Raw genomic sequence first — 23,963 nt, 5'->3', positions numbered from 1 at the left:
CACTGAGCTGTGGCCAGCAGGGGCCAGGGGCGTGCTGGGAGGGCTCCCACAGGTGGGCTAGGCCCCTGAGAGCTCACGCTGGAGAGGGGAGGAGCAACCCCAGCTCAGAAGCAGCCGGTAGATCAGGGGTCCCAGGAACTCCCAGACAACTGTTCACCTGCCAGAGACAAGCGTCTGGGGGTGTGAGGTGAGCATCCTGGCTGCCCACCTGCAAGGTCCTTGCCCTGCACCAGCCACCCCTCCCTGTCTCCTGAGAAGCCCCAGGCCACAGTGATTCAAGTGTTTGTCCACGGTCACACAGTACAAATAACCCAGCCAAGGCTGGCACTGCCTCCCTGCAGTCCTCCTCCCCAGGCCACAGCAGAAGGGAGTCAGGCCGGACCCCAGGAAGGACTGCCTCTCTGAGAGGGTGAAAGGACCATGAAGGGGACTGGCACAAAAGAGTCTCCCTCCCTCATGAAAGCTTCCCCAGACCAGGGCAGCGGCGAGCCGGGCATACCTTCAGGCTGCAGTGCACGGCCGACTCGGGTGGGTACACGATGAAGTGGCGCAGAGTGAAGCCAAAGCCGTCCTGGGGACTTTTGTACAGCAGCAGCGTCCTCGGCCCCTGCCAGGGGAAGGGGCGCCTAGGAGAGCACCCATCTCTTGGGCCCAGTGGCAGCTGTGGGAGACAGAGAGGCCAGGCTGAGCGCCCGTGTGGCTGACACTTCTGGCTGTTTGCACCACCTCCTGCAGCCCACAGGACCGGAGGGGCACCAGAAGGGGTCTTTCGCCCTAGGGTTGCCAGGCATCCTCCCTGCCCATGACCTCCTCCTCACCCCTTCCTTACTCTCCCACCTTCATCAGCCCAATAGCTTTTTCCTTCTTTCCTTTCCCCTCAGTCCCCTCATAATGTCTTTGCCCTTGGGAAAATAACTCACTGAAGCAAGTTCATTCAGTTCAGTTCAGCTGAGTTCAGCAAATGTTCACTGAGCACCTACTATGTGCAGGACCCTGGATACAGCCTTCCTGCCCAGGAAGTGCCTGTCGTTGTCTTAGCTCATGCACAATCTCACACACACACATGCACACATATATGCACTCCCAGATAGACACATACTTATGCAGACACAGCCCCAGCCACATACACTCATGTAGACGGAACATACCACAAACATACAGACAAGCATGTGCAAATATGCAGACACACAGATACACACACACAAATGAGTACACATGTGCACACTTTTGTAGACACATAGATATGCACAGAGTTGCACAGAATCAAAGTCCTGCACACACAATGCACATACAGACGCATGCGCATGCATCACAGACATGCAGATACACACATGCACAGCAGACCGGCACACACGCATCCTTCAAGAACAGCAGCAGGAACACAGGGGGAACCAAGAAACAAGAGGGAGCGGACTGGACATCAGACACCTGAAGGGACTTCCTGAGGCTCCAGAGCCCAGCCCAGAGGCCTGGCTGGTTCACCAGAAAGGCTTGGGGTGGCTGGGCGCGGTGGCTCACACCTGTAATCCCAGCACTTTGGGAGGCCAAGGCGGGTGGAGACCAGCCTTTGCCAACATGGTAAAATCCTGTCTCTACCTGTAATCCCAGCACTTTGGGAGACCAAGGCGAGTTCGAGACCAGCCTGGCCAACATGGTGAAACCCTGTCTCTACCAAAAATACAAAAATTAGCCGGGCATGGTGGCTGGCGCCTGTAATCCCAGCTACTCAAGAGGCTGAGGCAGGAGAATCGCTTGAACCCAGGAGGGAGAAGTTGCAGTGAACTGAGAGCGCACCATTGCACTCCAGCCTAGTGACAGAGCGAGACTTCGTCTCAAAAAAAAAAAAGGCTGGAGGTTTCAGAGACACTAAAGCCTCCTGTCAGACCTCCCAAAATTCTCAGGATTCTCCAAGATGATGTGGCAGAGGGTATCTGAAGACAAGAGTTTGGAGGGGGCACACAGGTCTGTTTCTGGGGCAAGAAGAAAAACAGTGCCTGAGACAGGGCTCCCTTTGGGACACAGAGAGGGAAGGTGGGTGACAGGAGGGTGTCAGATAGAGGGTGCTCACGGAGCCCAACTGGGGAAGATGGGAGCCACGGAGAAGCTGCCTGGCTTTGAAAAGCCAAGAGGACCCCTAGAGGACTCTTAAATCCATAACATCATGTGGCCTAACCTCTATGTTGCCCCTAGTCCAAGCCCCTCAGAGGGCAAAAAGCCCTCACCACCAACACTCCTTACTCCCCTCAACTCCTCCTCGGCACCAGGCAGGAAGCATCAGCTGACAGGAGAAAGGCTGAGGGGCTGGGTGTGGAGGAAGAAGCTCATCAGTTCTGGAGTGAGGAGCTCCCGCTTCACTAGCAACATCCCCTTTTGTCCCCTTCTCGTAGCTGGAGAAAGCTCAAATGTCCTGATGCCAATAAGTTCATTCATGGACCATCCACCCTCCTGTCCACACACCCAGTGGAGGGAGACAGCTGCCCTCTGCTAAGGATTTCCGCATGGGGGAGAGCCTGGCTGCTGTCGAGCAGGTCTGGGGAAGAGGCTAGATCCTCCCATCTCAGAAGATTAAAGAAAAATGTGACAGAGACAATAGGCTATAGGCTTGCTTCATACAGCCCCAGGGGACAGAGCCAGGTGGAATATACAAGAGGCTGAGTGGAGCTCCAGGCAAGGGAGACAGACCGTTCTAGACTGTTCTACTCCTATACGGTCTGGAAAACTACCCAGATGAGGCTATGAGTGCCCCCTACCAGACAGGGGCCACGTAAAAGCTGGAAGACCCCCAGTCCAGGAGGTCTCAGCAGGGGTTTTGACATCAGGGGTAGTCCAGCATCTTCCACCTGTAGCTTTAGCCCAGTCTCTCCCACGGTGCCCTGCACCCCCATGGGGGCCTGGGGAGCCCAGAGGAGAAAATTCTCTGGGAATTCTGCTGAGGTCTGAAATCCCCCGGATTTCCCATCTCTGCTGACCTGGCAAGGAACTGATCAGGGAGCGAAAAGGGTCTGGGGGTCCCCTCACCAACTGCCCTCTCCTACCAGAAGCCCCTGCTCCTCCCCAGTGTGGGCTGCCCCCTGCCTGTCCCCCACCCAGGCTCAGAGCTGAGGCTGTTTGCAGGGCCCATTGTTTTGCTGCTGTCCTGGATTAAGGTTCAAGCCACCAGCTGCCCCAGTGACGAGAAGTGGCTGGGACAGGTCCCCGCACGCCCCCCGCCCCTCCCCCAGCACACATCCTGCCTGGAGCTGCCAGCTGCCTGGGGGGGCTGCTCCCTGGGAGGGCCTGCATGGAATCCAGGGTAGGAGGCATGCCTTCCTCTCCGGGTCCCCTCCTCACCAAGCACTACCAGCATTCCCTCCCTTATCTCTACCTCTCCCTTTCCTCTGTTCCTTCCTTCCAGTCCCCTTCCTCCCACCTCTTCCAACTAGGCTCTTGAGAATGTCAGCTACCACACAGCCACAGCTACCACACACCTGCTTGAAGAGGAGACACCAGGACACCCATCAAAAGCCAGAGCTGGCATCTCCCCTGTGGGAAGTTCTTCCTTGTTTAACCTCAATCCTTCATGCTATAATACATGCATGTTTCCTCTCCTCCCCTGTGACCTGGGACAGAACTGAGTCTTGTTCTCATCTTGAGGTGGGGGAAGTGATAGGTGCAAAAACCACAGAAGGAGCCATTGATAACAACTAGAAAGGTGCACAGCTCACACACACAGCTCTGCCTCTCTGACTTAGGCACAGAGACAAGGGGACTGAGAGGGAGTTGCTCAGGGGACACAGGGACATTGCTGATTAAATTCTCCTGGCCTGGATCTATTTCCAAACACTCCCACCCTCATGTCAGGAAAGAAAGAGACGTCCAAAAATACCAGCTGATGGTGACAGCAGGGCAGACGGCCTTAGGCCACAAATTAGGCAGAGGTGGACACGTGGTGGGTTGGCAGCACCAGAAACTAGAACCCAGGAGCCCTGCTCCTCCCCCCGGGAGCATAAAGAGGTCATTGCAGGGAGCACAGTGTTCAGGCCGGGCATGGCGCCCACTGTGACTCACACCCTACCAGCCTGGTCCATCCCGGACATCAGAAACACGGCAGTCCCCCAGCCCAGCCCTGTCAGCCCTGAGAGCACTCACTACCTGCAGGGGCCCGTCTGCCACTCAGCCTCCTCTGCCCACTAGGAAACCCTCGTGTGCCGTGTCCAGGTCCCCTACCAGGGGTGGGGTGGGTCGTGGGCCCTGCTCCATTCAGTGGTGCCTCTGCCTGCCTCGGAACTCGGGGTCCCTGCCCACCCATACCCTCTGGGATTCCTAGAAGCCCCAGCGTCTCTTCAAACGCTCTGGTCCCTTCCATCCTTCCACTGCCTGGAAACCGAGAGGGCTGAGCCCCGTGGAGGCCTCGACCCAGACTGGGGGTTGTCATCCCAGAAGCCCTGGCAGAGCTCCAAGCCACAAATCCTGCCACCCTCAGCCCCATCTCTCAAGTGCCTCACTCACTCCCCGTTCCAGGGGCATCAGTCCTGGAATGCAGGGCGCACACAGCTCAAAGGCCGCAGGGAGTTGGTGACCCAGTCCCACTCAGACCCCGACAAGGCCTGCCCCGGCCCCGGCCCCGGCCCCGCGGCTCTCACCCTGGCCCGGCGCGGCCCGGGCGCGCGGCGGTCGCTGTGGCTGAGGCAGGGCAGCCAGAGGCAGCGCGGTTCCGGGGCGCTGCAGTCCACGCCGACGGCGCGCTCCCAGCGCCAGCCCCCGGCCCCCGCGCGCTCCACGCGCCACACGGCGCTGCCCACCAGCTCCGCGGCCGGCGGGGGCTCCCGGGCCCGGCCACTGCCCCGGCCCCAGTACGCCCCAGGCCGGGCTTCCGGAGACGCGCGCGCCGCGCGGGGGCCCGGGGCCGCTGCTAGGCGCCCGGCAGACGGCGTCCTCGACCCCCCGGGCGGCCGGCGGGCCCCGGGGGTCCCCGCCCGCCCCCCGGAGCCGCGGGCCCGGGGCCCGGGGGCCCCGAAGGGACGGACGGCCCGCGCGGACGGCGGCAGGACGGCTGGATTGGCTCCGCGCCTCCTGCGCCTCCCGGCTGAAGGCGCCCGAGCCCCGACACGCCCGCGAGTCTCGCAGGGCTGACGCCTCCCCCTCCGGGGCGGCCCCTGTCCGCGGCCGCCCAGATCTCACACTCACACCCCACACGCCAGGGCACTACACAGTCCCCCGCACGACCACACCCTCGCACCCTCACACGCAGACGGCAGCCCTGGACCCAGACACGCACTCTCCCCCGGCCCGCACACCTTGCACCCTTCCAGCGCGCGCGCGCACACACACACACACACACACACACACACACACACACACGCACGCATACGCGCGCGCATCAGCCCCATCCACCCAGAGAAACAGCCACACATGCTCCAGGTGTCCCTCACTCTGCTGCACACCCTACCCACTCTGTACAGACCCGCACCACACACATCCACCTGCCCACACACACTCACCCTATGTGGACATACCCCAGAAACACACTATCCCCCCCACACACACAGGACACTCTTCCACATCGTATACACACACCTCAGACATCCGCCCAAGTGTATACGGTCCACATACTCAGAGAGATGCATGTGCAAGCACACCAGACCCACATTTACCCACCCACGCACTCCACACATACCCCACAGGGACCCCCACAACATGGCAGATGCCACGCACACACTGCACAGCTCAGGCACTCCAGGCATGGATGCCACAGCCCCTCGAGTGCTACACACACTGCCCTGCACAGAGTGACAGCCACACACTCTTAAGCGCAGATGGAGTCCCCAACACCCCTGTGGGAACCACCCTCCTTCCCAGGACTCCCTACCCATTAGCTCTACCTAGAGGGTCACTACAAGCTGACAATCATTCAAAGCTGCCCCCTCTCCCACCCCCTGGCATGTGAGCCAGATGGGAAGCGCCATGTTGTGCTAGCCCCTGCCCTGCTCGCCTTCCTGGCTCTTGCTCTTCCCAGGCCCCATCCGGATGGGGCTAGCAGAGGCCTTGGCTAGTGGATGTGTAATCACCATCACCATTTCTAGCCCACTTGACTGTTCACCAACAATATCACCACAGCCACTTACTGTGGCCCGGGGCCATTTCTATGGCCTCATTTGTAGAGAAGGAAACTGAGGTCCAAGAGGACCCAGCTTGTTATGGCAGCACCGGGACTCCAACCCCAGGGCCTCTCATCCCAACTTCTATCCTACACCAAAATCCTAGCCAGCAGCCAGGAAAGCGGGGCAGCTCCAGCCCAACCCCACTCCTGAATCTAGGAGGAGTCCAGGAGGAAGCGTCATAAGGGTTGGACCTTTTTGAGGCAGCTACCAGAAGGGAGCACCAAGCAGATGCAGCTCCCCTTCCCTCCCATTCCACCATCCACTGTCCCCAGCAAGAACCTGCGGGAGGGTGGCCCAATGGGGAGGTAGGAAATCCAGCAAGGGGGTTGGGGGGGAGATGGAGGGACAGAGATGGGGAGGGGCCTGGGGGCAGAGGGAGGGGAAGGCAGCAGACAACAAAGTGTCAGAAGGTGGAGAAGCAAAGGGACGGGAAGGGAGCCTAGGGGACGGAGGTGGGAGGGGAGGGGGAAGGGAGCAGAGCGGACCACGAGGGAGGTCGGGATCAAGGGAGGGAGGAGGAAGAGAGAGGAAGGGTGAGGGTGAGGCGTGTGGGGGCGGCTGCCTGTGTCAGCCAGGGAGCTGGTTTTGTTCTCCTGTTTCCTGTTTGCTGGGCTCCCCCTCCGTGCAAGAGCTGGACCCCCCACCCCCACCCTGGCGGAAGCCAGATGGGAAGAGTGAGGCTGCCACGAGCTGAGTCAGGAGAGCTTAGGGGGAGAGCGGGAAAGGACTGCAGCCGGGGAGAGCAGGACGCGCCATCTCCATTGGCACCCTCTCCCGCCCCACTTCCATCGCTAGAAAACTAAGGATTCGGTGTTGGGACCACTCCTGCCCTGACCTGCCCTGTGACTCCGTCATACTCTCCAAAGGCCAGACCCTCCTAGACCAGCTGGAACCACCATCAAGATGTCCCCAGCCATGTCAGACTCTGGGGCCCCAGGCGGAGGGCAACCAGATGTCTTCAGCTCCAAGTCTGGCCTCTCCTCCCAGCAAGCAGCCAGTAAGTCCTTTCAGGTGCCTAACTTGCATTCCTCTTGCTGCTAGTCCAGTCCCTGGTTCTAAGGAAATGGAATGACTCTCCCCTCTCATCCCCCATGGAGCCTCTGATGGCCAACAGGTGCTGCTGTGTGCCCAGATCAAGAATCCACCTCTGCGGAATTCAAAACCGCTGAGGGTTCTGGGACAGCAGGGAGGAGAGAGGTGGAGACGCAACATGGGTTTTCTGTGTTCAGACTGCAGAGACCTTGGAAAGGATCAACCATATACAATGTCCATTTCCTGCCCTCTAACCTGGCAGGGGAGCAAGGCCCAGCCAAGGAGGTAACAGATTCCTCCAACACAAACCACACCTTCCTTCCCCACCCCCACCACCTCCACACCCAGCTGCCTCTGTGGGGACTTCAGGGGGAGAGTGCACACAGTGGGGCCTCAAAGGTTATGTAGCTTGAATAAATGATCCTCCAGGCCTGGGGAGCCTCTCCGCTCCCTCCCCCATTTCCTCTGGGAAAGGAATGTGGGGTGGGCCCCAGAGGGTGGTGGCGGAGGGGGCCCAGGGCTGGGAAATACCAGGCGTAGCTGAGATTCTATTCCAAGCCTTCCTGCCTAGCATGAGTCCTCCCCCCACGCCCTGCCCAGCTTCCTCCCCCTGCATCAGAAATTACCCTGCTGAGCTGCCCCTTCCATCCCCCTCTAGTTTGACCAGCTTGCAAAATCCATTCAACCTCATCTTCCTGAGGGTCCCTGGGGAGGGGCTTGAAGGCTGCATCCCCAAAGGGAGGGCATCCAGTCTTCCCTCCTTCCAAGAGATCATTGTCTTTTACCATTTGAAAGCACTTTCACTTGTTCTCATTTGACACCCTAAGAATCAGATAACCAGAGATTTTTTTGATACCCGTTTTTCAGTTACAGAAACTGAGGCTTGGCCAGGCGTGGTGGCTCACACCTGCAATCTCAGCACTGGGAGGCCAAGGTGGGCAGATCGCTTGAGCCCAGGAGTTTGAGACCAGCCCGAGGAACATGGCGAAACCCCATCTCTACAAAAAATACAGAAATTAGCCAAGTGTGGTGGCACGTGTCTGTAGTTTCAGCTACTCAGGAGGCTTAGGTGGGAGGATCACCTGAGCCTGGGAGGTAGAGGTTGCAATGAGCAGAGATTGCTCTCCAGCCAGGGAGACAGAGTGAGACCCTGTCCCAAAATAAATAAATAAATAAGAATAAAATTTAAAAAAGAAACTGAGGCTCAAAGAGAACAAGTGACTAGTTCAAGGACTCATTTTCACTAAGCTGGGACCAGATCCCAGGGTTCTAACCGCTTACCAGATCCTTTTCCATTACCCTCTTGTTTAACCACATCTTGAGTACCTGCTGTGGGCCAGGAGCTGAGATACTTTGGAGAGTCTTTCAGGAATATTGTCCCAGCTCCTGAAACCTTTAGGGATCCCCAAGTTCTAGACTCTGGCCAAAGCCGGCTGCCTTCACCCCCACCAAGGGAGACCCCCACAAACCAAGGGAGCCCTGCTCTCAGGTGCACAGGGCCTCTTCTCTCTGGGAGGTGACAGTTTTTTGAGGGTGGGGCCAGACACCTCCCAGGCTATCCCTCACAGGAGAGGATGGTCTGGACTGGAGGAGTAGAAGCAAGTAGGCACTGGGGAAGGGGAGGAGAGCGTCCTGAGTCCCAAGGGTCAGAGATAGGAGCAAGAAGGAAACTGACGTGTTGCAGGGCGTGTGGTTAAGGAAGTGAGAGAGGGGCTCAGGGTCGATTCTGCCTGCTTTTCCTTCCTCCAGCTTGCTCAGCACTCTTCCCAGAATGTGGGCCCCAAACTGCCAGGTGACAAACAATGCCCCCACCCCAAGAGAGTCATCCAGCATGTTTGAAGCTCCATCTGGTCCTGTACACCAGTTGCACACCACCAAACGCAGACCCATGACCACTCCACAACCTCGCACACAGACAGGGCAAATCCCACCACAGATCCGTGCATCCCAGGCATGCAGGCAATGCGATACTGACACATGCCCGCCCCGCCCACGCCTGGGCCTCTGAACCCTGCTCCAGTCTCCTCAGTCAAGGGCGGCGGCCCCCTCAGGCCTCTTCCACCCTTTTGCCCCATTCAGATGCCTGGTTCCCAGCATTGCTTGGGTAGAGACTCCCGCCTGACAAGCCCCAGCAGGCCAAGTTGATGAGCCGGCCAAGCAAGCCTGTGTCTCCGCAGCGCCCTCCATGTACACATAACCCCCATCACCGGGAACCTGGGCACCCCGCACTGGCACTATGTCTGGCCCACGGGTAGGGGATGGTTCCCAGGGTCTCCCCAGACCCAGTGCTCTTCCCCTGTAGGGCCACTCTTGCCCAGGGTTAGGATGGACTGTGCTCCCTCTCCCTCAAACTAGGCCAGAGCCACGGAAGCCTGGGAAGGGAGATGAGGAAGCACTTGTCACTCCAGACATCCCACCACCATCAGGGAGGTGGGCTGAGATAATGCCAAATGCACAAAATCCTCAAAATCTGTCTGGGCATGATGATTCATGCCTATAATCCCAGCACTCTGGGAGGCCAAGGCAGGAGGATCGCTTGAGCCCAGAAGTTCAAGACCAGCCTGGGCAACACAGCGAAACCCCGTCTCTACAAAAAATATAAAAATTAGCCAGGTGTGGTAGTGCATGCCTGTGGTCTCAACTACTCAGGAGGCTGAGGTGGGGAGGATCACCTGAACCCAGGGAGGTCAAGGCTGCAGTGTGAGACCCGGTCTCAAAAAAAAAAAAAAAAAGGCTGGGCAACTTGGCAAGACCCCATCTCTACAAAAAATTTAAAAATTAATCGGGGATGGTGGCGTGCACCTCTGGTCCCAGCTATTCAGGAGGCTAAGGTGGGAAGATCACTTGAGCCCAGGAAGTCAAGGGTGCAGTGAGCTGTGTTCGCGCCACTGCACTCCAGCCTGGGTGACGGACCAAGACCCTGTCTCAAAAAAAAAAAAAAAAAAAAAACTCCCCAAGTTCTTTCAGTGGCAGCACAGCTCAGGGGCTGACACACGGGATCTGGAGTCCTCTGGAGGCTGAGTCAGAGCCCTATCTCTACCACTTTCTAGATATGAGACTTTGGGTGAGTTACTTAACCTCTTTAAGCCTTGGTTCCTCATCAATAAAATGGTAATGACATGTATTTCCACCTCAAAGGTTGTTGGGAGGATTAAGTAAATTAAAGAAAGTCTTAGCACAGGCTCAGAGCACATAGTAGGGATTTAATAAATGCAGGCTGTTTCGACGGCTTTTTGGATAGTCATCACAGTCACACTGACATTCAGACATGCAGACACTCAGCCATGGATACACAAAGACACGGTGACACATGTGGACGCTCATAGACCCAGGCAAGCTCATCCTTCCCGGCATCACCCCCACCTCCCACTGCCAGCCTCAGGTTCCTACAGGCTCTTGACGTGCCCCAGTTCCTCCCAAGCAGGGAGGATTCAGTAGGATCTCCCACTTCCTTGGCTGAACTTTGGCAAGCCCAGAGCACTACCTTATGGGCCCTCTGGGAGTAGGGAAGGGGTGGGCAACATGAGACCCCAGGATGGGGCCTCTCCCAGCAGGCAAGGAGCATGGCAAAGGTGCCAGGCTGGCAGGGTCTCCAGTGCCAGAGGAGGGCCAGTTCCTCCCTCAGGGACAACAGAGGAAGGGGAAACTAAAGAGGAGCCTCTTTCCTCTTGGTGGGAAATGAGCACTTACAGAAAAGGGTGCGTCTAGCCAGCCACAAAGTAAACACCAGGGCCATTGCCCAGGCAACAGCAGGCTGGCATTGGGACAGGGCTTACCACAACCCCTCCGTACCCCTGATTTACCCACTCAGCAGCCCTTGGCTGTCTCTGGGGTCTCCATTCTGGTCTCTAGGCCTGTCTGCAGACTCCTCAAAGGGAAGAAGCTATGCCTCCTCCATCAGACTGTGTGCTCCTTGAAAACAAGGGATTTTTGCCCCACATCAGTCTAGGGTCTCCCAAAAGGCATGGCCTGTGTCTTTCCCCTCAGATTGGAGGATGCCCAAGGGCCTGGCCTGAGTCTCCCCCTTAGACTGAGAGCTCCCTAAGGACAATGGCTGCTGGGTTTTCAGAATGGATTTGCCCTCCTAGAGAGCTTTGTGCATAGCGGGCTCTCAAAAATTATTTCTTTTTTTTTTTTTTTTTTTTTTTTTTTTCAGACGGAGTCTCTGTTGCCCAGGCTGGAGTGAAGTGGCGAGATCTCGGCTCACTGCAACCTCCACCTCCTGTGTTCAAGTGATTCTCCTGCCTCAGCCTCCCGAGTAGCTGGGATTACAGGCACGTGCCACCACGCCCGGCTAAATTTTGTATTTTCAGTGGAGATGGGGTTTCACCATGTTGGCCAGGCTAATCTCGAACTCCTGACCTCAAATGATCCACCCGCCTCGGCCTCCCGAAGTGCTGGGATTACAGGCATGAGCCACCATGCCCAGCTCAAAAATTATTTCTTAATGGTGAGGATGTGGAGAAATTGGATTGCTGTGGGAATGTAAAATGGTGTGTCTGTGGCCAGGCACAGTGGCTCATACCTGTAATCCCAGTGTTTGGGAGGCCAGGAGTGCAAGACCAGCCTGGGAAACATATAGAGACCCCATCTTTATAAAAAATGCAAAATTGGCCAAACGTGATGGCACACACTTGTAGTCCCAGCTACTTGGGAGGCTGAGGTGGGAGGATCCCTTGAACCCAGGAGTTGGAGGCTGCAGTGAGCTATGATGCTATGATCACACTACTGCTCTTCAGCCTGGGCCACAGAGGAAGACTCCCTCTCTAAAAAAGCAATAAAAAATAAATAAATAAAATGGTGGAGTTGCTATGGAAATCAGTATGGCAGTTTCTCAAAAAATTAAACATGGACAGGAGGCTAAGGCAGGAGAATCGCTTGAACCAGGGAGGCGGAGGTTGCAGTGAGCCAAGAGCGCGCCGTTGCACTCCAGCCTGGGCAACAAAAGTGAAACTCCGTCTCAAAAAAAAAAAAAAAAAAATTAAACACAGAATTACCATATGATCCAGTAATTCCACTTCTGGGTATATATCCACAACAACTGAAAGCAGGGATTAGAAGAAATGTTTGTACACCCATGTTTGTAGCAGTGTTATTCACAACAGCCAAGAAATGGAAGCAACCCAAGTGTCCATCTACGGATGAATGGACAAATAAAATGAGGTATATCTATACAATGAAATTGTCTGTATTATTGTATTACATATAATACATACATGATATGAATAATAATAATTGTATTATTTAGCCTTTTAAAATAAGTGAAGGCCAGGCGGGGTGGCTTACACCTGTAATCCCAGCACTTTGGGAGGCTGAGGTGGGAGGATTACTTGAACCCAGGAGTTCTAGACCAGCCCGGGCAACATGGTGAAACAACATCTCTACCAAAAAAAAAAAAAAAAAAAAAAATTAGCCAGGTGTGGTGGCACATACATGTAGTCCCAGCTGCTTGGGAGGCTAAGGTGGGAGGATGGCTTGAGCACAGGAGATGGAGGTTACAATGAGCTGAAATCGCGCCACTACACCTCAGCCTAGGGGAGCCAGACCTTGTCTCAAAAAAAAAAAAAAAAGAAAGATATTTGACACATGCTACAATGTGGATGAACCTTGAAGACATTATGCTAAGTGAAAGGATTAATATTGGCTGGGCTTGGTGGCTCACATCTGTAATCCCAGCACCTGTATTCCCAGCACTTTGGGAGGCTGAGGTGGGAGAATCACTTGAGGTCAGGAGTCCAGGGCCAGCCTGGACGACACGGTGAAACCCTGTCTCTACAAAAAATAAAAAAATAGCAGAGCGTGGTAGCATGCACCTATAATCCCAGCTCCTCAGGAAGCTGAGATGGGAGGATCCCTTGAGCCCAGGGCGTCAAGGCTGCAGTGAGCCGTGATCACACCACTGCACTCCAGCCTGGGTGACAAAGCAAGACCCTGTCTCAAAAAAAAAAAAAGGAATGAATGAATAAATATTATATTATTCCACTTACGGTGATAGTGGAATATCACCACTTATGGTGATAACACAATAATATGGATGTACTTAATGCCACTTTACAGTTAAAAATGGTTAAAATTATAAATTTTGTTTTATATATATATATTTTTTCAGATGGAGTTTCGCTCTTGTTGCTCAGGCTGGAGTGTGGAGTGCAATGGCGTGCTCTCAGCTCACTGCAACCTCTGCCTCCCCGGTTCAAGCGATTCTCCTGCCTCAGCCTCCTGAGTAGCTGGGACTACAGATGCGAGCCACCATGCCCAGCTATCTTTTTTTTTTTTTTTTTTTTTTTAAGTAGAGACAGGGTTTCACTGTGTTAGCCAGGATGGTCTCGATCTCCTGATCTCGTGATCTGCCCACCTCGGCTTCCCAAAGTGCTGGGATTACAGGCGTGAGCCACAGCACCCGGCCGTATTATATATTTTGTGATTTTTTTAAAAAGGCCAAGTCAGAAATCAAACACACACACAAAATAAAAGGCCAGGCACGGTGGCTCAGGCCTGTAATCCCAGCACTTTGGAAGGCCGAGGCAGTTGGATCACCTGAGGTCAGGAGTTTGAGACCAGCCTTGCCAACATGGTGAAACCCCATCTCTACTAAAAATACAAAAATTAGCTGGGCGTGATGTCAGGTGCCTGTAATCCCAGCTACTCTGGAGGCTGAGGTAGGAGAATTGCTTGAACCCAGGAGGTGGAGGTTGCAGTGAGCCGAGATCACGCCATTGCACTCCAGCCTGGACGGCAAGAGCAAAACTCTGTCTCAAAAAAAAAAAAAATGTTGAAAGATGAAACAAATGAACAGGTCTCTCCTTGGTGCCCAGGAGAAGTCTCTGCCCACAGAGGTTGCCCAGGAGCTGGGCACCTCCTGCCTGGAAGACCTTTCCCTGCCGTCCCTTCTCCACTGCACCTCCTCAGAGTCTCTACTGTCATCTTTGGAGCCCTAGAGGTCCCCGCACAGGGGGATCGCCCAGCCTGAACCTGGCACGCATCAGGTCCTTGGCGTTGATGGGGGCCTGCCATCCACAGAGGCTGCCATCCCCAGTCATGCACAAACTCTTCCAAGGCTGCCGGCAGGAACTTGGAAGAGTTTTCTTGGCAGAAACCTGGCTCAGTGTGGGGGCCCTCAAACCCACCAAGCACACACATGCCCATTCCAACGCGCCACACGCTCACACCCACCTGTAACATACACACAAGGGTGTGCCCACAGAGACACCGCCGCGTCCTCTCAGGCACTCCTGGAAATGAGCCCGCACAATGAAGGGTGCACATCTCGGCTGCCTGGCAGGCAGGTCCCGTGGCCAGCAGAGCCCCCTGCTGGCCCAGCGCTGGCATGCCTCGTCTCCTTGACAACCCAGAGCGAGCAGAAGGGTCCTCATTCCCTCAACCTCGCTCCCCAGGCCCCTCAGCTCCAACCTGCCCTGGGATCTTCCCCTCCCCATCTCCTACAAAGGAGAAGAATCTCCTGCAGAAGGACAGAGCAACTGTGGAATCTCGGGGTCTCCCTTTGGTCAAGGAGAGAGGCCAGAGCCCCTTTTCAGACTAGACTGGAGCAGTCATTCCTAGAGGCAGGGGAATGCCTGCAATGACTCTTCTCTAAGGTCAGCAGATCCATCCCCTGGTCTCACGCTGGACAGTGCATTTCAGAGGAGACTAGGGGAAAGCTCTAGGTGTGACTCCGCCTGCCCCCCGCCCCCCAGGAGTGCTTCCTGTTGTCTGACAGCCTGGGCAGAGGTAACAGGTGCACACACTGGTTTCCTTCAGGCAAGAGCTGGGTCCCAGTCAAGCTAAGACCATGTCCCCTCCCAGGGCAGGTCTCAGCAGATTCCGAAAGTCTCCCGGGGGCACATGGGGCTCCCTTCAGGGAGAGGCTGTCAGCCCCACCCCTGAAACCACCCACCCCCTCACCCCAGCCCTGCCCATCCCTCCCGGTTACCCCTGCCTTCCCCTTCACACATGTGGCCCTGCCTATGAACTGAACCACTCCCTAATCCAGTCTGTGATGCCCAGAGGCAGCTGGACAGGTGGCAGGGACAGTGGCTCTGCAGGGACAAACAGCCTCCCCTGGGTCACTACCATGAGGGAGCCCCCTGGGCTGGGCTCTCTGGTCAGAAGAAGACAGATGGCATCATCCTCACTCCAGATCCTCCTCCCGCCTCCCCCTGCCAGTTTGCCTGGCCCCACATTTGGGGACAGGATAACAGCCACACAGTCAAGAATACTTGCTGAGTGCTTACTATGCCCCAGGCAGCTGCTGTTAGATGCGCTAACTCATTTAACCAACCTCTGGAAATGAAGGTAGCACCCAGCACCCACCACCTGCAACTCCTGGCTCTCCACCGGGTTGGGTGCTAGGCAGGGAATGCTGGGTGACCTGCAGGGGCACCGAGGCTTGGGGACAGGGAGGATGGTGAGAAAGTGACCACTGTCCTGGCATCAAGAAGGCTAACACAGAGAAAAGGCCACACTTGCCATTGGTACTGGCCCTGGCCCTTTTCTGGCTGTGTGACCTCAAGATCATCACTCAAGGTCACTCAAGTTTCCTTATTTCTTCAGCTATAAAATAAAGACAGAGATAGCAGCCTGAAAAAGTTGCTGAGAACCAAGAATCAGGTATTATGGCCCCAGCGCTCCATCCCCCCATCGGAGTAGACTCTGCTTCCTAGATGTCTCTGGAGTCTGCTCACTTCATTACACCATTGCCCTGCTCCAAGCGGCAGTCACCTCTCTGGCATCTGACAGTCCAGATTGATTATTTTAATATTATGACCACCAGGCCCTGTGGGACGCGCCTTGGCCCCCACACTCACCACACCCTCTTCCTCTGTGCTCTGGCCACCCTGGCCTCCTTCCACCTCCTGTGAGGACCAGGCACCCTTCCAGCCTCGGGTCCTTTGCACATGCTGTTTCTGGAATGCAACCCATGCCCTGATTCACTCCTACCCACCCTGTTGCTCTTAACAAAAATGTCACTTCCCCAGGCACACCTCCTCTGGCCCCAGACCAGGTCAGTTACCTGTGCACCCTCTTGTCAGTGTCTACTTATTTATGAGCTTATTTTGACCAACATCTCCCCACAGGGCTGTAGGTCCTGGAAGGCAAGGACCATGTCTGCTTTGCTGGTGGTCAAATCCCTGGTTCCTGGCCCAGGGTGGGTGCTCTGCACACTGTTTCTAAATGTTGGAGAATGAATGAGCCTTTCCTCAGAGAGTTAGAGGTAACCAGAACCCTGTCCCCAGGAGGGGTCTGGCAGAGGCAGGGGCTTTTTATATCCCCACCCCTTCCTCAGAGGGAACCAGATCCAGAAGTCGGGGGTGCTGGAATAAGGAAGAAAGGGGGGCCGGGCATGGTGGCTCATGCCTGTAATCACAGAACTTGGGGAGACAGAGGCAGGAGGATCCCTTGAGCCCAGGAGTTTGAGACCAGCCTGGTCAACATAGTAAGACCCCATCTCCACAAAAATAATAGTAAAAATTAGCCAGGTGCCGTGGGGCACGCCTGTAGTCCCAGCTACTTGGGAGGCTGAGGTGGGAGGATTGCTTGAGCCAAGAGTTCAAGGCTGCAGTGAGCCATGGTTGTGCCACTGTACTCCAGCCTGGGCGACAGAGCCAGATCCAGGCTCAAAAAAAAGGAGTGGGGGAGAAAGGGGTGGGGAAAAAGGGGGGAGCTGCTTCAATCCTCTTTGCATCTCTGTGCCCTCACCCCAGCTGGCCACACTCCAGCCACGAGCCCTCCTCGTGGGTTCTGCAACGTGCCAAGCCCTTGTCCTGAGACTCAGAGCCTGCTCCCCACATCCAAGTTCCCCTCTCCCTGGACTATAATACAGTGCCTGCCTGCCCCCTCCCCGTCCCCTTCTTCCCTTGACTCAACCCTTACCCTCCAGGTCTCAGCTTGACTTTCTGAAACGCTTGTTTAACTTAGCAAGCTAAGGAATCTGCCATGGTGCCACAGCTAATGTCAGCTCAGGATTGAAGCTGTGGGCAGAGCCCAGACTCTCGGCCACCTCATTATACGCCTCATCACTACTGGTTTCTCCCTCCAGTCCCCGCCCTCTCTGGGGCCTCAGTTTCCTTATGTGGGCTCTTCCATGATGAGGGACTTGGACATCTGTAGATTTCAGGAAGATTGGTTGAGAGGAAGAAGGTGGGGGAAGAGGTTAAGGGAGGAGGGGAAGGGGGAAAGAGAGAAGAGAGGAGGGAGGGGAGGACAACAGAGGGGTGGCTGCCTTGGGCCAGCCAGACATGAGAAACGCCAAGTATGTGAAGTACGCCAGCCCTGAGCTATGAATAGTGCGCCAGGCTGGCAGCCCAGGTGGGCCTTTCTGCCCCTCCCACGGGAGCTCTGCACAGGGGGCCTGAAATGGGGAATGGGGCATGGGCTGGGGAAGCACACTTGGGGACAGAGCAAGGGGTGTTGTCATGCAAGTGAGATGCAAATACACAGCAGCAGGCAGGTCTGATTGGTGGATCCCTGTGGGGCTGGGAGCATAGGCCGAATGGTCACTCAGCAAAAGGCAGTGCCCAACCTGCAGCACAACCCAGGGCCTCTGCCCACCTGCGCTGTGGCCACTGCAGCTGCATTTCCCAGGCTTGGAGGTTCCTTCTGGTCACCCGTGGCCAAAATCCCACTGACGCTGTGCAGCCTCTGGAGGCCTCTAAAGGTCGTGGTAAGGCTCTGCCTGCCCTGGACACCATCTCTGACCACCCCAGCACCAGGTCAGCCTCTCCTTGGAGCTCACAGGTCTGACAGACAGCTGGGCACCTGGAAATTACGACATCCCCAGTCCCGGCCTCTAGATCCCTCTCCTCATCAGTGATCCCGGTGGGACACACACTGGGCTTAGAGGCTGGAGGCCCAGTCCACGGCCCCTGTCCGGCCACTTGTGTGCCCCCAAAGAAAGCAGTCACCTTCAGAGCCGGTTCCTCTTTCTTTCATTCTAGGACTGTTCACTGGGTGCCACCAAGGGCCTGGCACCGGGCTAGGGGGGCCAGTGACACAAGGGAAGACGAGTCAGAGGCCAGGTTTCAGGTCCCAACTGCATGACCTTGGTCAAGTCCTTTCCCTCTCCAAGCCTCAGTCTCCTCAGCTGTAAACTGGGTCCTGGAGAGGACTCAGCATTGAGTGCCTGGCATGTAGAAGTTGCTCAACAAATCAGTCCCGTAGTCTGAGGATTTTCAAAAACTAACAAAAGCAGTCCCTGGTTTTATAAAACCAAAGACATAGACATGCAACAAATAAAGGTGCTGTAGGGCATAGTGTTTAAAAGTTCCTAAGCAGAGCCTGGGCATAGTGCCTCATGCCTGTAATCCCAGCACTTTGGGAGGCCGAGTTCGGAGGATCACTTGAAGCCAGGAGTTAGACACCAGCTTGGCCAACATGGTGAAACCTTGTCTCTACCAAAAATACAAAAATTAGCCAGATGCAGTGGTGCGTGCCTATAGTTCCAGCTACTCGGGAGGCTGAGGCAGGAGAATCGCTTGAACCCAGGAGGAGGTTGCAGTGAGCAGAGATCACGCCATTGCACTCCAGCCTGGGTGACAGAGCAAGACTGTCTAAAAAAAAAAGTTCCGACTGGGCTCGGTAGCTCAAGCCTGTAATCCCAGCACTCTAGGAGGCCGAGGCAGGCCGATCACCTAAGGTCAGGAGTTAGACCAGCCTGGTCAACACGATGAGACCCCATCTCTACTAAAAATACAAAAATTAGCCGGGCAGGAGAATCGCTTGAACCTGTGAGTTGGAGGTTGAAGTGAGCCAAGATCGCGCCACCGCACTCCAGCCTGGGTGACAGAGCAAGACTTGGTCTCAAAAAAAAAAAAAAAGTTCCTAAGCAGGATTCAGAGGAAGCTGGATTGAATCCTGACTCAGGCCCACTTCCTAGCTGTATGTCACTGGACAAATTACTAACCTCCCTAAGCTTCTGTTTCCACAGTTATTAAATAGAGATAATCCATCGCCCATGGGATTGTTGTGCAGATTAAAGAGACGGTGTGTGTAAAGTGCTCAGCACAGCAGTGTCTGGCCCTGAGGCCCGCAATACAAGTTTGCTATAACCAATACTCCCATTGTTATTATTATTGGTGGGCAATGCAGTGTCAAGTGCTATGGGAACACTCAATTCATCAGTCAGCAGCGTTCACTCAACAGGGCCTGGCCTAGAAGCTGGATATAGAGCAGTGAACAAGACAAAGTCCCTACCCTCACGGGGCACAAGGTCTAGCGCACAGAGGAGGAAGTCGCCATATATTTGAGTGGTGGAGGGAGGCTTTACGGAAGATATTTGAACTGGGCATTGAAAGAGGAATAGGAGTTGGAGAAATGGAAAAGGCAGAGAAGGCCCTTCTAGACAAGGGAAAGAGACGGTACAGCAAGTTTCTGGAAAGGGGAAGAGGGTGACATACTCCCACTCTTTTTTTTTTTTTTAGACAGAGTCTCACTCTTGTCACCCAGGCTGGAGTGCTATGGTGCGATCTCGGCTCACTGCAACCTCCACCTCCCGGGTTCAAGTGATTCTCCTGCCTCAGCCTCCCAAGTAGCTGGGATTTACAGGTGCCCGCCACTACACCCAGCTAATTTTTGTATTTTTATGTATGTATGTATCTATTTATTTATTTTGAGATGGAGTTTCGCTCTATTTGCCCAGGCTGGAGTGCAAAGGTGCAATCTAGGCTCACCACAACCTCTGCCTCCCAGGTTCAAGCGATTCTCCTGCCTCAGCCTTCCTGAGTAGCTGGGATTACAGGTATGTGCCACCACTCCCAGCTAATTTTGTATTTTTAGTAGAGACGGGGTTTCTCCATGTTGGTCAGGCTGGTCTCAAACTCCCGACCTCAGATGATCCGCCCACCTCAGCCTCCCAAAGTGCTGGGATTACAGGTGTGAGCCACCACGCCCAGCCAACATACTCCACTCTTATCCTACCCTTCCAACTGTACCTCCAGTTTCAGCTCCCATCTCCTTTCACCTGGTCTGCTGCCTCCACTGCCCGAGACCCTTGTGTGGCTCCAAAGTAGCTATGGGAGCAAGTTCCTCAGTATGGCATGAGGGATACGACCTGATGGGGGAGGGAAGGGGCGGGATCTGGTCTCATTGGCCTTGCCAACCTGACCTCCTCCCTCTATTCTGGGCCTTGTATTCATCAATCCCTTAAGAGGCCAAGCTGGTTCATGCCTCCTTGCCTGTGCTAATGCTTGGTCCCTCTGCCTGGCACACCCTTCTCTCCCTTCTCCTCCATCCCTTTCTTGCCCCAACAAACATCTTTTTTTTTTTTTTTTTTTTGAGACGGAGTCTCACTCTGTCACCAGGCTGGAGTGTGCAGTGGCATGATCTTGGCTCGCTGCAACTTCCACCTCCCAGGTTCAAGTGATTCTCCTGCCTCAGCCCCCCAAGTAGCTGGGACTAAAGGCGCATGCCACCACGCCCAGCTAATTTTTGTATTTTTAGTAGAGATGGGGTTTCACCATGTTGGCCAGGACGGTCTCGATCTCTTGCCCTCGTGATTTGCCCACCTTGGCCCCCAAAAGTGCTGGGATGACAGGCGTGAGCCACCGTGCCTGGCCCTAGCAAACATCTTTCAAGCTTTGGCAAGCCTCATCTCCCCACAGTGAAGCCTTCTTCCCCTGAGAGCTGGACCATCTTTGGAGGAGGCAGGGGCTCAGCCATGTTTATTGACAGAACCCTGGGGTCCCCCACGCCACTCACGAGCAAATCCAGACTCCACACTGAATCACAGAAGACACAGAGAAGCAGAACTTAATCTACATCTCTCTGCACCCACCACCCATTACATCTGCCCTCCCCCCCCTTCGTTATGCCAACCTTTGCTTGGATTTCAGGGCTCAGCTGTGGAAAAGAGGGTCTAACTTCCCTGGGTGAGGGGTGTCCTCCCAGGCTCCTTGTTGTCAGAGAATACAGCAGTCACCACAATGACAGACCTAGGATTCTGAAAGACCCAGCTTTAATATTTTTTGGGGGGGGTAGGGGTGGGTAGGGTCTTGCTCTGTTGTCCAGGCTGGAGTGCAGCAGTGCAATCATAGCTCACTGTAGCCTCAAACTCCTGAGTCCAAGCAATATTCCCAGCTCAGCCTCCCGAGTAGCTGGGACTACAGGTGTGCACCACCACACCTGGCTAATTTTTTAGAGACAGGGTCTTGCTATGTTGCCCATGTTGGTCTCAAATTGATCTTTGGTTCATGCCTGTAATCCCAATACTTTGGGAGACCAAGGCAGGAGGATCACTTGAGCTCAGGAGTTCAAGACCAGCCTAGGCAATATAGGGAGACCCCCATCGCTACAAAAAAATTAGCCAAGCATGGTGGTGTGTGCCTGATTGTGCCACTGCACTCCAGCCTGGGTGACAGAGCAAAACCCTCTCTCAAAAAAAAAAAAAAATCCTGGCGTCAAGCAATCCTCCTGTCGAAGCTTCCCAAGTCTCTGGGATTACAGATGTGAGCCACCATGCCTGGCCCAGCTTGAAATTTGATGCTTGGTGACCTTGAGTGAAGTTATTTGCCCACTCCAGGTCTCAGTCGTTGCATCTGTAATTATACACCCCCTTTATGACGGCACTTGAAAATCGATCAAAAAGGATTTCACTATAGAATCCTCAGGTTAATGATAGATTTGGAAACAGATGAGAGAAAGGAGATTAATCATATCACCAACTGGTTTTTAACCAATCCCTGTGGCAATTCTACCCAGCTTCCGGCTTCCAGTTTTAAACTCCCGTTATCGCCTTTGTGACCACACTCACTTTCCAACGATTACCATGGTGAAGACATTGGCTTGTGTAGGCTGCAGGTCCATCACCCCAGTCAGACTGGGCCGTTTTTACATTAATATTTTTGGCAGGGGGCCCCTGAGGGGTGTTCTGGACTGATCGATGGGCTGGATGCAAATCTTAGAACTCATGGTTCTACAGTCTTTGTGGAGACTTTTTGTCTGGCTTTTGGGCGGTAGGAAAAGCAGACAAGGAGGCCCTTGAGAGCAGGGTTGTTTCTCATTCATCCAGGTCCCAAGAGAGAGCCTGGAACGCAGAGCACGAGCAACCAGTGATCACCACTGACAGTGGGTTCGATTCGGCTCCAGCCCACTGGCGGACTTTCCCAAGCCCTGGGCCTCCCATGCTGGGATCAGGGCCTTCTCCTGCCCCCGGCTGAAATTACGGAGAGGGCAGGAGGGGCACTCTCCTCAGCGTTTTTTTTGGGGGGGTAGGGGTAGCTGAGGGGAATATCCTCAGCATCCCCAGACCACATCCCGTCTCTCAGATAAGGCTTTCCCTAGCACTGGGGGTACCTAGGCCTCTGGGCCACTGGAGAAGAAAAAGCTCCCAGTGGGGAAGGAAGAGGGGCTGTTTCTCCCTCATGTTGGCAACCCCAGCCTGGTTGTGTGGTCCCCATTTTCTGCCTCCTACCCTCTCCTCTTGCAAACATCCCCCCGACCATCTCCTGGGCTCTGGACCCAACCTCAGCTGTCCCCCTCGCCTTCCTTGAAACGTCTAGGTGCTGTGTGGGAGGGGCACAGTGCCAAGGCTTCATTAGAGCTAATGAAGCTCAGCTCTGTGATGCCAGTGCAAGATAACAGTGCGCAGACAGCCTCCATTGCAGCCTGGGGCCTCCGCCCCCTCCTCCACCTCTCTTGGGGAGGAGCCCAGGGCCACACCTCCAGAAGAGGAAAGGGAGATTTATAAGAATCTTCCCAGGCCAGGCACGGTGGCTCACGCCTGTAATCCCAACACTTTGGAAGGCTGAGGCGGGCGGATCACCTGAGGTCAGGAGTTTGAGACCAGCCTGACCAACATGGTGAACGCCCATCTCTACTAAAAATACAAAAAAATTAGCCGGGCATGGTAGAGGGCGCCTGTAATCCCAACTACTCGGGAGGCAGAGGCAGGAGAATCTCTTGAACCCGGGAGAGGTTGCAGTGAGCCGAGATCGCGCCATTGCACCCCAGCCTGGGTGACAAAGCGAGACTCTGTCTCGAAAACAACAACAACAAAAAATTTTCCCCAGTACAGAGACTGCCGTGAGGCCAAGGAGAGATCGGGTTCCAGGGCAAGAAGTACAAACAGCATCAGATTCGGGGGCAAGGTTCTCCCTTGGGCTGCCAAAGGCTCCCCTGTGCATTGCTCAGTCCAAAAGCCTGGGGTGCCCCTTTCTACTTGGACCTTGGGAACTCACCAGCAGGAACCACTCCTTCCTCTCCCTCTTTTCATGGAATCACCGCAGGTCAGAGCTGAAGGGACTCTGGGCACTTCTCTACAACCCTCTTATGACAACTCAACAACCTGAGGCCCCTTCCTCCTCCCACTTGGCATCCATCCTCTCAAGCAATCCTCCTGTCTCAGCCTCCCGAGTAGCTGAGACTACAGGTGTGAGCCACCATAGTCCCTACAGTTCCAACCACACAGGGCTGGCTTCCTTCCACTCTTGCTGGTCCCTTCCTCTCTGCTCTATCCCCTTGGCCTGTCCCTTCTCTAGGCCTCAGTTTCCCCATGAGGCAAATGGAGAGACAGGGAAGGAGGGTGGCCTCTGATATTCCTCCAGCTGAAGCAAAGGAAGATGTCCCCTCTCTGGGTAGCTTTCCTCCTCCTTCTGTCCCTTTTCAGGAACAATACAGAGTTCCTCCACCTTGAGCATAAGGGAGACTCTATGCGGGAGGTGGGGGTGTCCCCTCCAGCCTCTCCTTCCAGCCTTCGGGGGCTCTCAGAAGCAGGAAAAGCTCTGGATTGCCCAGGTCCCCACCTCTCCCTCCTCCCAAGAGCTCTGAGTCTGGCGTCCACACCCGATTCTTTCCAAGCTC

At 55.0% G+C, this 23,963-nt stretch overlaps 1 protein-coding gene and 1 long non-coding RNA gene across 13 annotated transcripts in view, besides 5 other annotated features; one reads left to right on the top strand and one right to left on the bottom strand.

The window, feature by feature from the left end:
• ARHGAP23 (Rho GTPase activating protein 23) overlaps positions 1–23,963 on the bottom strand; it is a 93,111-nt gene that overhangs the window by 53,623 nt on the left and 15,525 nt on the right. For 8 of the 10 annotated variants that reach the window (XR_429909.4, XM_006721991.2, NM_001199417.2 and 5 more), the window contains exon 2: positions 500–661. Coding sequence is in view for 8 of the 10 variants with exons in the window: in XM_006721991.2 (XP_006722054.1) it covers positions 500–661 (162 nt within the window). In the remaining 2 variants the exon portion in view is untranslated. Of the gene's footprint in view, positions 1–499; positions 662–4,488; positions 4,522–4,622; positions 4,870–23,963 lie in introns of those variants that run through there. The other 2 variants (XM_011525074.3, XM_011525073.2) reach the window with 2 other exon arrangements.
• Positions 555–720: a silencer, noted in NCBI's record as "fragment chr17:36614287-36614452 (GRCh37/hg19 assembly coordinates)". NCBI's record gives its function as "represses an EF-1alpha promoter that drives an FKBP-Casp9 reporter gene in an ReSE screen in K562 erythroleukemia cells {active_cell/tissue: K562}" and the evidence as "EXISTENCE:reporter gene assay evidence [ECO:0000049][PMID:32094911]".
• Positions 6,332–8,369, top strand: LOC101929494 (uncharacterized). 3 transcript variants are annotated; one of them, XR_429962.4, is made up of 4 exons: positions 6,332–6,445; positions 6,936–7,137; positions 7,370–7,457; positions 8,040–8,369. It is a non-coding gene; the product is annotated as an uncharacterized LOC101929494 (long non-coding RNA). The 3 variants fall into 3 exon arrangements; XR_934733.3 differs by having other exon boundaries at positions 7,238–7,457; XR_429965.4 differs by lacking the exon at positions 7,370–7,457.
• Positions 6,903–7,844: an enhancer, noted in NCBI's record as "OCT4-NANOG-H3K27ac-H3K4me1 hESC enhancer chr17:36607163-36608104 (GRCh37/hg19 assembly coordinates)". NCBI's record gives its function as "activates a minimal SCP1, AML or CMV promoter by ChIP-STARR-seq in naive and primed H9 embryonic stem cells {active_cell/tissue: H9 hESC(naive and primed)}" and the evidence as "EXISTENCE:reporter gene assay evidence [ECO:0000049][PMID:30033119]".
• Positions 8,786–9,727: an enhancer, noted in NCBI's record as "H3K27ac-H3K4me1 hESC enhancer chr17:36605280-36606221 (GRCh37/hg19 assembly coordinates)". NCBI's record gives its function as "activates a minimal SCP1, AML or CMV promoter by ChIP-STARR-seq in naive H9 embryonic stem cells {active_cell/tissue: H9 hESC(naive)}" and the evidence as "EXISTENCE:reporter gene assay evidence [ECO:0000049][PMID:30033119]".
• Positions 17,492–17,994: an enhancer, noted in NCBI's record as "OCT4-H3K27ac-H3K4me1 hESC enhancer chr17:36597014-36597516 (GRCh37/hg19 assembly coordinates)". NCBI's record gives its function as "activates a minimal SCP1, AML or CMV promoter by ChIP-STARR-seq in naive and primed H9 embryonic stem cells {active_cell/tissue: H9 hESC(naive and primed)}" and the evidence as "EXISTENCE:reporter gene assay evidence [ECO:0000049][PMID:30033119]".
• Positions 22,293–22,793: an enhancer, noted in NCBI's record as "H3K4me1 hESC enhancer chr17:36592213-36592713 (GRCh37/hg19 assembly coordinates)". NCBI's record gives its function as "activates a minimal SCP1, AML or CMV promoter by ChIP-STARR-seq in naive H9 embryonic stem cells {active_cell/tissue: H9 hESC(naive)}" and the evidence as "EXISTENCE:reporter gene assay evidence [ECO:0000049][PMID:30033119]".

This window comes from Homo sapiens, chromosome 17 (genome assembly GCF_000001405.40).
Source record: "Homo sapiens chromosome 17, GRCh38.p14 Primary Assembly".
In the NCBI taxonomy this organism is placed as follows: domain Eukaryota; kingdom Metazoa; phylum Chordata; class Mammalia; order Primates; family Hominidae; genus Homo; species Homo sapiens.
The sequence above is the reverse complement of the archived record's forward strand: the minus strand, read 5'-3'. Positions and strand labels throughout refer to the sequence as shown.